The sequence below is a fragment of the Homo sapiens genome, chromosome 3, assembly GCF_000001405.40.
Source record: "Homo sapiens chromosome 3, GRCh38.p14 Primary Assembly".
Classification (NCBI taxonomy): Eukaryota; Metazoa; Chordata; class Mammalia; order Primates; family Hominidae; genus Homo; species Homo sapiens.
Window position 1 is genome coordinate 125,556,778 of NC_000003.12, and position 13,230 is coordinate 125,570,007.

General features: G+C 39.3%; 1 protein-coding gene across 2 annotated transcripts in view; it reads right to left on the bottom strand.

Moving 5' to 3' along the window:
- Window positions 1-13,230, bottom strand: part of OSBPL11 (oxysterol binding protein like 11) — a 66,640-nt gene that overhangs the window by 27,920 nt on the left and 25,490 nt on the right. For both annotated transcript variants that reach the window (NM_022776.5, XM_047447396.1), the window contains exons 6-8: window positions 10,617-10,818; window positions 6,921-7,066; window positions 3,602-3,742 (exon numbers count right to left, since the gene is read on the bottom strand). In NM_022776.5, the coding sequence (NP_073613.2) occupies window positions 3,602-3,742; window positions 6,921-7,066; window positions 10,617-10,818 (489 nt within the window). The remainder of the gene's footprint in view (window positions 1-3,601; window positions 3,743-6,920; window positions 7,067-10,616; window positions 10,819-13,230) is intronic.

Below are 13,230 nucleotides of genomic sequence, written 5' to 3' on the forward strand. Positions count from 1 at the left end.
AACTATAGCAAAAAGTAGAGGGATAATTAACACACAAGTCAAGTAAATTGTTTTATGGAGGAAAAAGTAGAGGACTATAAATTAGAGGGGAACTCAGAGATTCCAAGTTCAGGCAGTGTTCTACAACTTAATGTCAGAGGTAGATACATGGGTATTCATTTTATCTTTTTTCTTTGAATGTTTATATGTATACCATTCAGTCTTCTGTGTGTTTAACACATTTCATACACACAAAAATTAACTGAAAAAAGGAAGTAAAACAAAATTCCATATAAACTATGACAATGTGAAGAAAGATAAAAGTGAGAGCTCTGTTATGTTAGGGTAGTAAAATGATAGATTTTCTTTAGTTTTCTAAAATTTTGTGTTTATATAATTTCATAATATTATTTAAAAAGAAACAAAATGAACAGTAGGAAAATGCATATTACTTATTCACAACATGAAGGCTAGGACCATGGTTATCTTATTTGTTCCTGTCCCAAGACCTAGCACAGTGTCTGGAATATAACAGGGGCCCAGTAAATATTTGTTAATTAAGTGTTATTGTTAGATAAGAGGTAGCTGTGACTGCAGTTTAGTCACCAGGCTCTTTATTTTTATTTATTTGTTTATTTTTTTTGAGACAGAATCTAGCTCTGTCGCCCAGGCTAGAGTGCAGTGGCGCAACCTCAGCTTACTGTAACCTCTGCCTCCTGGGTTCAAGCGGTTCTCCTGCCTCAACCTCCTGAGCAGCTGAGATTACAGGCGTGCACCACCATGCTCGGCTAATTTGTTTTTAGTAGAGACGGGGTTTCACCATGTTGGCCAGGCTGGTCTCCAACTCCTGACTTCAAGTGATCCACCCGCCTCAGCTTCCCAAAGTGTTGGAATTATAGGTGTGAGCCATGGCACCCAGCCACCAGGCTCTTTAATATTGCCTGAAAAGTATCATTCCATTAAATGTTGTATAGATGTTCTTAATTTGTGGTTGGTTAATGTTAATGTAATATATGTGTAACACATACAACTTTCTTTTTTTTTTTTTTTTTTTTTTTTGAGACAGGGTCTCGCTCCGTTGACCAGGCTGGCAGTGGCACAATCTTGGCTCACTGCAACCTCCACTTCCCAGGTTCAAGCAATTCTTGTATCTCAGCCACATGGTAGCTGGGACTGCAGTCGTGCACCACCATGCCCAGCTAATTTTTGTATTTTTTGGTACAGACAGGGTTTCGCCATGTTGGCTAGGCTGGTCTCGAACTCTTGAGCTCATGTAATCCACCTGCCTTGGCCTCCTAAAGTGCTGCGATTACAGGCATGAGCCACCACACCCAGCCACATACAACTTTTTAATCAACAAGGTACAAATGTAGAGAAAGTATAGTATATGCACTTATTCATGCCATGAGAGAACTTCTACCATGTGGATTACTATCACAGCACACTTTTTTCAAATGCTCTTATGCCTCATAAACCTCAATGCTGCTCTTGTGCCTTATAAATGCAAATCTACTCAGGGACTGCAAACACCATGCTAACTAATACCAAACAACCCCTTCAGAAGACTATTCATTTTTAACCAATTTCACAACTATGAGGTCTTTTCTGAACCATTAATATGAAAATATTTCTAGAACAGAAATGATTCCCAGTTGAAATACTGAAGCTATATAAATAATGAAAGCTTTATGGGTTTCTTTATTAATTCCTAAAATGTCTGCTTCTTATGCTTTCTATTTAAGTTATATTTTCAGATGAACAGTTCGTTGGAAACAATGTTTTAAATCTACCTTCAATGGCATCAAAAAAATCTCCAATTGACATCTACCTCCTAAAGTCAATTTTGAAATTCCATACTAATGTAAAATTGTTTCATCAGTAATTCAAAGTAAATAATCCTACAGTAATAAATATTTGACATATATAGGTTTTGAACTTGATTGGCTTTTTAAATTAATGTCATGGATTAATTGTTAAGACAAATTAAGGCACACTAGTTAAACTGGGAACAGAGAAAACTGGCCTAAAATTAAAAACTACAGATTAGTGCTTCTCAAACTTTAATGTATATATGAATCGTCAGGGATCTTATTAAAATGCAGATTCTGGTCCACTAAGTCTGGGACTGGGGCCTGAGATTCTGCATTCCTAACAAGTTTCCAGGTGATGGTGATGCTACTGGTCTTCAGATCACACTTAAAGAAGCAAAGCTTTTGGCCAGGAATCTGCAAACTGTAGTCTTTGGGTTAAATCTGGCCTCCTGTTTTAGTAAATGAAGTTTTGTTGGAATACAGCCATGCCCAATCCAGTATATTGTCTATGGCTGTTTTTATACTACAAAGGCAGAGTTGAATAGCTACAACAGAGACCTATGTCCACATAGCTGCAAATATTTACTATCTGGCCCTTTACAGAAAAAGTCTGCAGACTCCTGTTATAGATAATACCCCAAATGTATGATCTGCATGTGGGAAGTAAGTGGAAGTGTCAATGCTTTTCATAGTTCTGTAGGATTACGTAATTTTCTCTACATTTTCCAGTATAGTATACCAATGGACTCTTTAATTTTGTTCTGAAACTCAAAGACAATTGGTATTACTTGCCAGACAACTTCCTGCTGCACAAGAAAGCCAGAAAGCCTTTTTTTTTAGTGATGGAGTCTCGTTCTGTTGCCCAGACTGGAGCGCAGTGGCACAATCTCAGCTCACTGCAACCTCCACCACCCAGGATCAAGCGATCCTCCCACCTCAGCTTCCCAAGTAGCTGGACTACAGGCCACCATGCCCGGCTAATTTTTGTATTTTTAGTAGAGACGGGGTTTCACCACATTGGCCAGGCTGGTCCCAAACTCCTGACCTCAAGTGATCCGCCCACCTCAGCCATCTCCTGAGACAGGGTTTTGCCACGTTGGCCAGGCTGGTCTTGAACTCCTGACCTAAAGTGATCTGCCCACCTCAGCCTCCTGAGTTGGGGTTTCACCACGTTGGTCTTGAACTTCTGACCTCAATTGATCCACCTGTCTCAGCCTCCTGAGACGGGTTTCACCTCGGCCTCCCGAGGAGAGTGGATCATTTGAGATCAGGAGTTCAAGGCCAGCTTGATTATAGGCATGAGCCACTGTGCCTGGCCAAGAAAGCCATTTTTTATGAAAATAAAAAATACTGATCAGGAGACTAAAAAAAAAAAATCATAAAAAATAAAAATCACAAAAAATAAAAAGACCGGCCAGGTGCAATGGCTCACGCCTGTAATCCCAGCTCTTTGGGAGGCCGAGGTGGGAGGATCACGAGGTCAGGAGCTCGAGACCCGCCTGGCCAACATGGTGAAACCCCATCTCTACCAAAAATACAAAAAATTAGCTGGGCATGGTGGTGGGCACCTGTAATCCCAGCTACCCAGGAGGCTGAGGCAAGAGAATTGCCTGAACCCAGGAAGTGGAGGTTGCAGTGAGCCGAGATCGCACCATTGCACTCCAGCCTGGGCAACAAGAGCAAAACTCCATCTCAAAAAAAATTAAAATTAAAATTTAAAAAGTAAATAAATAAAAAGTCCTGACATAAACATGAACAATTACTGGTACAGCCCTTAACAATCTCCATAGCCAGCTTATGCCATTACTTACTCTTGTTAAATCCATGCCCAGCTTAAGCTGTGACAAGAGATGTAGGATGACACTACGTTGTTCTTCTACAGCTCCCAGGTCATCCTCTTTGTGGTCACATGTATCCTCTATCTCATCATCTGCATTTATTTCTTCAGGCTCCTTGATGGAAAACAAAGCAAAAGTCTAGTATTTTAACTACCTATTCATATCCATTGAGAACAAAACAATAAATATCAGACTTGAAGACATTTGTATTTGACCTAAGTGAATCTGAGTATGGGCAAAAATCTTTCAGAAATACAACTATTTGTCCATGGTATAAATTTCCTTCAGAGAGCCCCATTATTGCTGATGTTGAACATATTGCAGTTTTGCCATATATATCACATAAGAACTATTTTTCTTTTTTGGGGGGAAAATAGAATTTTTCAAAAAGAGTGAAGAATGTCTCCTCCAGCCTCCAGAGTCGCTGGGATTACAGGCATGCACCACTGCATCCAGCTCATTTTTGTATTTTTAGTAGAGATGGAGTTTCACCATGTTGGCCAGGCTGGTCTCAAGCTCCTGACCTCGAGCGATCCACCCGCTTTGGCCTCTCAAAGTGCTGGGATTACAGGTGCCCACCACCATGCCCGGTCCCTTAACTGCTTTTTTCTTTTTGAAACAGGGTCTTGCTCTGTTGCCTGGGCTGGAGTGCAGTGGTGTTAGCTCACTACAACCTCCACCTCCTGGGTTCAAGCGATTCTCCTGCCTCACCCTCCCAAGTAGCTGGGACTACAGGCATACACCACCACACCTGGCTAATTTTTGTGTTTTTAGTAGAGATGAGGTTTAGCCATGTTGGCCAGGCTGGTCTCAAATTCCTGACCTCAAGTGATCCACTTGCCTTGGCCTCCCAAAGTGCTGGGATTATAGGCATGAGCCACCACACCCGGCCCCTTAATTGTTTTTTATACACATTTATAATCACATAACCTCCTCTCTTGTAAAATTTACATGTTTATAATTATACTAAACCTTTTTTCTCAAAAGACTCTTTCTTCCTAATTTTCCTTTGTGAATGACAATACAATTTTATCTAACCACTGAGAGTCAAAAACTTGGGACTTGACTTGATCCAAACCTATATCCAGTCAGTCACAAATCCAATTGATTTTTCATTTGAAATGCACATAATCTATTCATTTGCCTTCATGTCTACTTCCATATCCTTCTATTCACATTTTATTCCAAGTCGTATCATGTACCAATCTTCTTAAACATAGTACATTCTTACCCATGATCATGACGCTATTGTCATTAAGACTAAACCCTTCTGCATTATTTTTATGTTATTTGGAGGCACAATTTACACTGCATTCTATGGAGCAGTGCTCCTGGAAGCTTCATTCCACAGAGTACAACATGAATAGTGCCATTCAGAGTTGTAAAATCCAAAAATACTGTGATCATTTCCCATAAGCCAGGTGTTCTACTAAATTCATTTTATCCTCATAAGGATCTTACAAGGTAGTATATTATCCCTACCTTACCGATGAGGAAGTTGAAGCTAAGAGTGGTTAATTAATTGGTTCACATGTCAGTGAATGGCATATCCTGGGTTCAAAATTACCAGGCAAGCTTTCTCTTCAATAAACACACATGCCTTAGGATCCTTGCTAGTGTTAGTCCTTCATCTTGAGATTCCCATTCTCTTCCTCCTCCCTTCAAATCCTGTCTCCTTTCAAAGCCCAATTCCAATCCCACTTTCTCCCCAAAGCATTTCTCATGTACCCGACTCAATATGTCTTCTTCCTTTCTCTGAATGCCCCTATCCCAATAGCCTACATGGTATCAATTAAGAAAAAAATATATTGCTTTATATTATCATCTCATTTTAGTGTATATGTTGTGACTCCAAGCAGATTATAAGTCTCTTCAGTGAAAAACCTGTATCTTCTAATTTTTGCTTCTCCTCTAATTCTTAGCATTGTACTTGCCATATACTAAGCTTAATAAATACTTACTAACTGCTGTTTCTACAAATAAGCCAGTCAAACAGCTACAGAGAAATAAGCATTTTATACATTATTGTTTTTTCTTCTCCCCTGCCAACCCTTGCCTGCAATGCCTGTCTTATCAAGCCAAAACTTTTGCCAACTTTGGAAGTCCCTGTGCCATATATTTCTTTAAAGAAGTAATTTACGAATATATAAAGTACCATAAACTATGCATTACTCTTGACTCAGTAATGCTACTTGGTAATATAACTTAAAGAGATAACCTAAGAAAAAAAATAGGAGAAGGCCGGGTGCGGTAGCTCACACCTGTAATCCCAGCATTTTGGGAGGCTGAGGTGGGTAGATCACCTGAGGTCCAGAGTTCGAGACCAGCCTGACCAACATGGAGAAACCCCTTCTCTACTAAAAATACAAAATTAGCTGGGCATGGTGGCGCATGCCTGTAATCCCAGCTACTAGGGAGGTTGAGGCAGGAGAATCACTGGAACCCCGGAGGCGGAGGTTGCGGTGAGCTGAGATTGTGCCATTGCACTCCAGCCTGGGCAATAAGAGCGAAACTCCATCTCAAAAAAAAAGGAGAAAAAGTTGGAAACAAGATAATAAAGTGTTATTTATAATTAAAAAAAAAACCCTCCAAACAATCTAGATATTCAACAATAGGGACATTAACTCAATAGACTATTTCAAGCTTTAATTATACAGACCAGTACAACATAGGAAAATGCTTATCAAGTAAAAATAGCTTAAAATAACAGATGTGAACACAAAAGGCAAAAATATCAATATGATTTGTTACAGTGGTAGATTATGAATAGAATAAAACACTCTTCAGCTTCTAAGAAATGTGAAATGAATAATAGTTTATAAAAATATAAACCCTAAGATTATGTGCTATTTTAAGTAGGGTAATACTTGAAACAACTGGCTTGGTAAAGTGCTTACTATGAAAAAGACTCAACTTTTAAGATTATAAACTTAATAATAAATAATGTTAAGATAATAGGTTAAGAAACATAAGAGACAAACATTGTGCAAATCTCATTAGATAAGTTATTTTCTAGAAAAAGAAAAACATAAATTTCAATTTTTAAAATATATTTTTATCAAGCAAAAGTAAACTAAAAGTTAAAAGGGCATATAATTTAACCTGGAAAATTCAACAAGTTTAATATAAGAGACCTCTTCAAAAACAATGCAGTTTAAAATGTTTTAGAATCTTCAAGAGTGTTGCTCAGGTGTTAAGTTGATGTGCATGAGCTGACAATGAAAAGAAAACTGACCCTTTTTCAGTGATACCTAATTTTTCACATCAAAATCATATTTTTATATTACCTTACCCTCGCTAATAGTCCAGATTCTGCAACAGGCTGCTCTTCTGGGACTGCCACCGGCTTACTCTGATCAGTTGCAAAGGGCTGGTCAGCTCCATTTTTATAGTGGTTTGATAAAGATATCTTTGGTTCTAACCACTCGATTGTCGTTCCTGATGGAGTAAGAGAAAACTTTCGCTGAAACTTGCTCATAATCTAGAAAGTTCGGCAGATGTGGATTTTAACAATTTTGTTTTGAGCCTACAAGCCTAAAAGCAATTAAACCTGTTAAGAGACCCTGCAAGACAGCCACTTATATCTCATTAGCATGAGCACCATGATTGGGTATTTTACAACAGAGCAACTTGCAACTTGATATCAGATACTATTTAAAAGAAATCAACCCTGAATAGGACTGAATTTACTTCTTGGACAAGTCTGTGAATCACGAAGTATATTCCCAACCTAACAGTTGATTTGTTGTCTTTGTCCCTCTACTGATTAAAAAATATGCAATTAGGCTTTAGAGAGGCACAGCTACAGGAGGAGTCTGGGACTGTGAAACAGTAAGATTTGTTTCAATTTGGGATCGAGTCTTACTCTCAGCAACAATTGTCTAACCAATCAAAATAATCCCCCGGATCTAATTTAAGAATTGCAAATACATGTCCTTTTTCGAAATCATTTTTTAAAAAGCCCCATACAACTTAAACTGAAAGACTCTTCTACTGAATAAATAATAACTGACCCAGTGAAGACAGTGGTCACATTTGGAGACCTGTCATCTTCTCGGTTAATGATTCAAATGTCTCTTGTTACCCTCGACTAGTTTAACAAAGTGGATTCTATGCCTAATCAATAATGGAAAATGTTCCATTTGATTTCAGTTGCTGATCTAGGTTTCACAGAAGCTTGGTTATAGAGTGCTATAATAAGGGATGCTCAGACTACTACAGCAGAAATGTAGGAGTAGGAAATGTATTATCCTTTTTTTTTTTTTTTGAGACAGAGTCTTGCTCTATTGCCCATGCTGGAGTGCAGTGGTGCAATCTCAGCTCACTGCAACCTCCACCTCCCAGGTTCAAGTGATTATCCTGCCTCAGCCTCCCGGGTAGCTGGGACTACAGGTGCTCACCACCATGCCTGGCTAATTTTTGTATTTTTGGTAGAGACGGAGTTTCACCATGTTGGCCAGGCTGGTCTTGAACTCCTGACCTCAGGTGATCTGCCTGACTCCGCATCCCAAAGTGCTGGGATTACAGGCGTGAGCCACCATGCCCGGCCACAAATGAAATTTAGTATTTAATTAATCAAGTATTTATTGAGCATCTAATATCTAGTGCTGTGTTACTTGACATACTTTTAAAAAATTAAGTAAGCCTGGGCAACACAGACAGACTCCATCTCTACAAAAACTAAAAGGAATTAGCCAGCCATGGTGGCATGTGCCTGTAGTCCTAGCTACTTGGGGGGCTAAAGCAGGAGAATAGCATGAGCCTGGGAGGTTGAGCTGCAGTGAGCCATGATGGTGCCACTGCACTCCCGCCTGGGCAACAGAGTGAGAAGAAATATAAAATAAAAAATATATAATATATTGTCTTAAAAATAAGCAAATAATTAAGTAGTATAAACTGGAAACAAACTGTTTCATTTGACTGAGAATTATGATTACCAACACTAGAATTAACCCAAATTTCATAGCTAAGCCTAACTCATCCAATGTTCAACACAGGGATATAGTTAAGTAAACCAAAATACACTTGTCTCCTCAAAGGAATATAAATACTAAGCAAATTTATAAATAGCATATGATTGGAAAACATTTTTGATGTAAAGTGAAAAAAGATACAAACGTATATTTTCCAATAACAACAGGGCAAAAGAAACAAAAACTAAGAAGAAAAAAGAGAAAACCTGGGATGGGGAGTATACTAATATATCAACAGTGGTGGTTTCTGGTTGGTAGGACAATGCATATTTTTTGTTTCTTCTTTTGACTCTACAGTATTTTCTATAATGAGTATGTTGCTTTGTAAGAAGAGAAAATTTATATTGAACTACTTACAATTCCTACAAGTCATGAATTCACGTTCACAACTCACAATTTAGACTCTTCTATCACTTTGGAATGCCCTTTCCTCTACCTCTCACTCCTAAACTATGAATGCCCTTTCCTCTACCTCTCACTCCTAAACTATGAATGCCCTTTCCTCTACCTCTCACTCCTAAACTAATCAGTCTTTGCAGCTTCTCTGTGCCTTTCTCAGAACTCTTTCTACCAGTCATTCAGCTATTCTCCCACAGTTTGTTCCTTTTGGTAGTAGCACCCTACACGTTATTATTATTATTTTTGAGATGGAGTCTCACTCTTGTCACCCAGGCTGGAGCGCAGTGGCACGATCTGGGCTCACTGCACCCTCCGCCTCCTGGGTTCAAGCGATTCTCCTGCCTCAGCTTCCTGAGTAGCTGGGATTACAGGCGCCTGCCACCATGCCCAGCTAATTTTTGTACTTTTAGTAGAGATGGGGTTTCACCATGTTGGCCAGGCTGGTCTCAAACTCCTGACCTTAGGTGACCCGCCTGCCTCAGCTGCCCAAAGTGCTGAGATTACAGGTGTGAGCCACCGTGCCTGGCCCCTACACATTATTTTATACTTATTATTTACATATTTCTTCCCTAAGTGGACTATGAATTTTTTAAGAGGAACATACATAACTGATTGGCCTTTCTCAATAGTGCCCTAACCTGCAACTACAATTGCCACTAAAAACAGTTTGTTGGCCGGAATTGTTGAATTTAGGCACACATGAGGATGAGGTCCATCCTATATCCATCTGAGTAAGGGAAACTGTCTCCTGAGCAGAGACTCTACCTTTCTAAAATACCTTTCTTTTATGAGTAAGGTGAATTAGTTAAATAACAGAACAAAGAGATGTAAGGTATTAAGTTACTATCATCACTAGCATTATTAAGTTATTGCTCATACAATGTGATGAGCATCTTATTTATAGAAAGACTCATTTTTTGTAGTCCCGTGCAATAACATTTCCCTAGCACAATTAATTTCAACAAATAGATGTTCTCAAATAGTGGACATATATATATGTGTGTATATATATATATATTTTTTTTTTAATGGGGTCTCATTCTGTCACCCAGGCTGGAGTGCAGTGGTGGGATCATAGCTTACTGCAGCCTTGGACTCCTGGGCTCGGGATCCTCCTGCCTCAGCCTCCCAAGTAGCTGAGATTACAGGCATGAGCCACCTCGCCTAGCTACAGATTATTTTTCAAACTGAAAAGTGACTGATAGACTTTTATATACTTGAAAATAATGACAGTGGACTAAGCCAAAACTCAAAAAATAATGCCAAGGTTTCTACTTTGGTCAACTGGATGAACAGATGGATAGTGATGCCACTAATTTTAACATAAATATAGGAGATGCACATTTTGAGTTCAGTTTTTGAGATGTTGAGCTTGAGGTCTCTTCAGGAATGTTCAGTGATATTAGACATTAGTCCTAAAATCATTTTAGATTCAAAAAAAGGACACAATCATTAAGAATTTGTATAACATCAGCATGATAATTAAAAACCAACAGGCTCTGGTTTTCTTCTCCTTTTTTTAAGTTAAGATTTTCTGAAATTAGAATTACAACAAATACAGTCCTTTCCATGTGTTGGCCTTCATTGTGAAGCCCTACCTTTAATCGACAACTTACCTGAAGGCAATGAGCCCTTCTGATGTGATGCATGCTGTAACTGGAGAATATGAAAGCAGTCATTTAAGCAGTTCATAGTTGCCATGGAAGTAGCTTTGAGCATTAAGAGATCCTGGTCCAAGGAACTAAGATGGCCAGAAGTAGGAAGGCATTCAATTCGTCTAATTAAGTCTCTTTGTTGTCCTTCAGCATGAGACATCATCTAAGGAAAAAACAGTTCTGTGGGTCCTACTCATGATTTCTGTAAAACATGTATACATACAGTTGCCATTTTAATTACCAGATTCAGCTTCTGAGCCATTTTTAAAGACCTACTAGGCTAGGCATGGTGGCTCACACCTATAATCCCGGCATTTTGGGAGGCTGAGGTGGGAAGATAACTTGAGCCCAGGAGTTCAAGACCAGCCTAGGCAACATAGCAAGACCCCAACTCTACATAAAATTTTAAAAATTAGTCAGGCCTGGTGGCACATGCCTGTAGTCCCAGCTACTTGGGAGGCTCAAGTGTGAGGATCACTTGAGCCCAGGAGGTTGAGGCTGCAGTGAGCCATGATCACACCACTGAACTGCAGCCTGGGCAAAAGAGTAAAACCCCGTCTAAAAAAAAAAAAAAAAAGACATATTAGGCCATATTAGGCTTTTTAAAAGTTCGTTTGGCTATCTTCATTTAATGAACATTTAATGGTGCTTATCAATTGGGCAAAAGATTGTTATCTAAGGCAGCTGCAATTTTTCTTTGGAAGCAACAAAACTTAAAAGACCTGGCACTTTTTATTAAGAGTAATCGCAGCACTTTGGGAGGCCGAGGCAGGCAGATCACGAGGTCAGGAGATCGAGACCATCCTGGCTAACACGGTGAAACCCTGTCTCTACTAAAAATACAAAAAATTAGCCAGGCATGGTGGCAGGCACTTGTAGTCTCACCTACTTGGGAGGCTGAGGCAGAAGAATGGCGTGAACCTGGGAGACGGAGCTTGCAGTGAGCCAAGATCGCGCCACTGCATTCCAGCCTGGGCGATAGAGTGAGACTACGTCTCAAAAAAAAAAAAAAAAGGGAATATTAAGCCATCAAGTTATCAGAAAGATTCTAGAAGATCCTTAACAGGAAAATCAAATACTTCATTCCAAAGTTAAATTAAGTTCCAGTCTGGGCTCTCAACCACTTACTTCTTATACCTTTGGTCAGGCTCAATTTGAACCTACTATGAGTGCATAATGGCTTTCCTGCTTCCTCTTTCCTAACCAAACTTTCTGGTCCTGTTATGTTGCTTTTGGACCAAGTACTGGATGCAAGCTTTTCAGTTTAAAAGATTTTAATACACTCTGCTTTTATTAGGAGCATTGTCCAGCTTTCCTAATAGAACCAATGGAGTAACAATGATTGATGAGCAAGCCAATTTTTTAGAGGAAAAGTGAATTTATGATGCTTAATGACCTTCAGGTGTGAGCAGAAGGCTCTCTAATGGACCATCCTTTGAACACTAGTTTAGTTCACATAGAAACTCTATATAGTGGACAGACTCTTTTAGCTTTCAGAGGCTCTGTTCCAGGTGATTTTTTTTTTCTTTTTTTGAGATAGGGTCTCACTCTGTCGCCTAGGCTGGAATGCAGTGGTGCAATCACGGCTCACTGTAGCCTTGACTTCCCAGGCTCTGAGGCTCTCACCTCAGCCTCCCGGGTAGCTGGAACTACAGGTGTGTGCCACAATGCCTGGCTAATTTTTTGTATTTTTTTTAGTAGAGACAGGGTTTTTCCATGAGGCCCATGCTGGTCTCAAACTCCTGGGCTCAAGCGATCCACCCACTGTGGCCTCCCAAAGTGCTGGGATTACAGGCGTGAGTCACTGAGCCCAGCCCAGGTGATTTTTAATATGGCTCATCGGGGGCAAGTGAAAGAGGTGTACAAAATGATCCTACTAAGCAAATCAGTGTCATATATGGAACAGTCCCTGAAAACATGTACCATAGTTAAGGATCAAACATTTACCCATCCCAGAAAAAAAGGTTTCATAAGAGGATGAACTGTATGTAGGTATGATGGTATCTATTAATATATACACATTTATACATGCATATATAGTGTGCTTTGTGTGTGTATAAATGTTTTTGTATACAAATTTAGGAACCAACTCCCATTAATCCAAACTTATGAACACGCAGAACCACTCTGAAATACAGTGTGGCAATATCTACTAGACATAAGTAAATATAATTTATGATCCAACAATTACACTCTTAGCTACCTAACCAAGAGATATATACATGCATATGTTCAGCAACTCATGTCCATCAACACCAGAATGGATAAAAAATATTATAGCATAAGCATACAGTGAATATTGTACAGCAATGAAAAGGAACAGTTACACTCAACATCCTAAGTAAATCTCAAACACATACAGTGAACTGAAAAGCAGCCATACCCGAAGGAGTACATACTATATGATTCCAGTTTTAGAAGCATCAAAAATAGGCAAAATAAATCTATGGTGTTCAGGATAGTGAGGAAGGGTGTTGTGATGAGGGGCACAGAAGTGGCCCTAGGGTGCTCGTAACATTTAACTTCTTAATCCAGGAGGTGGTTATGCAGAAATTACAAGAGGCACACTTATAAT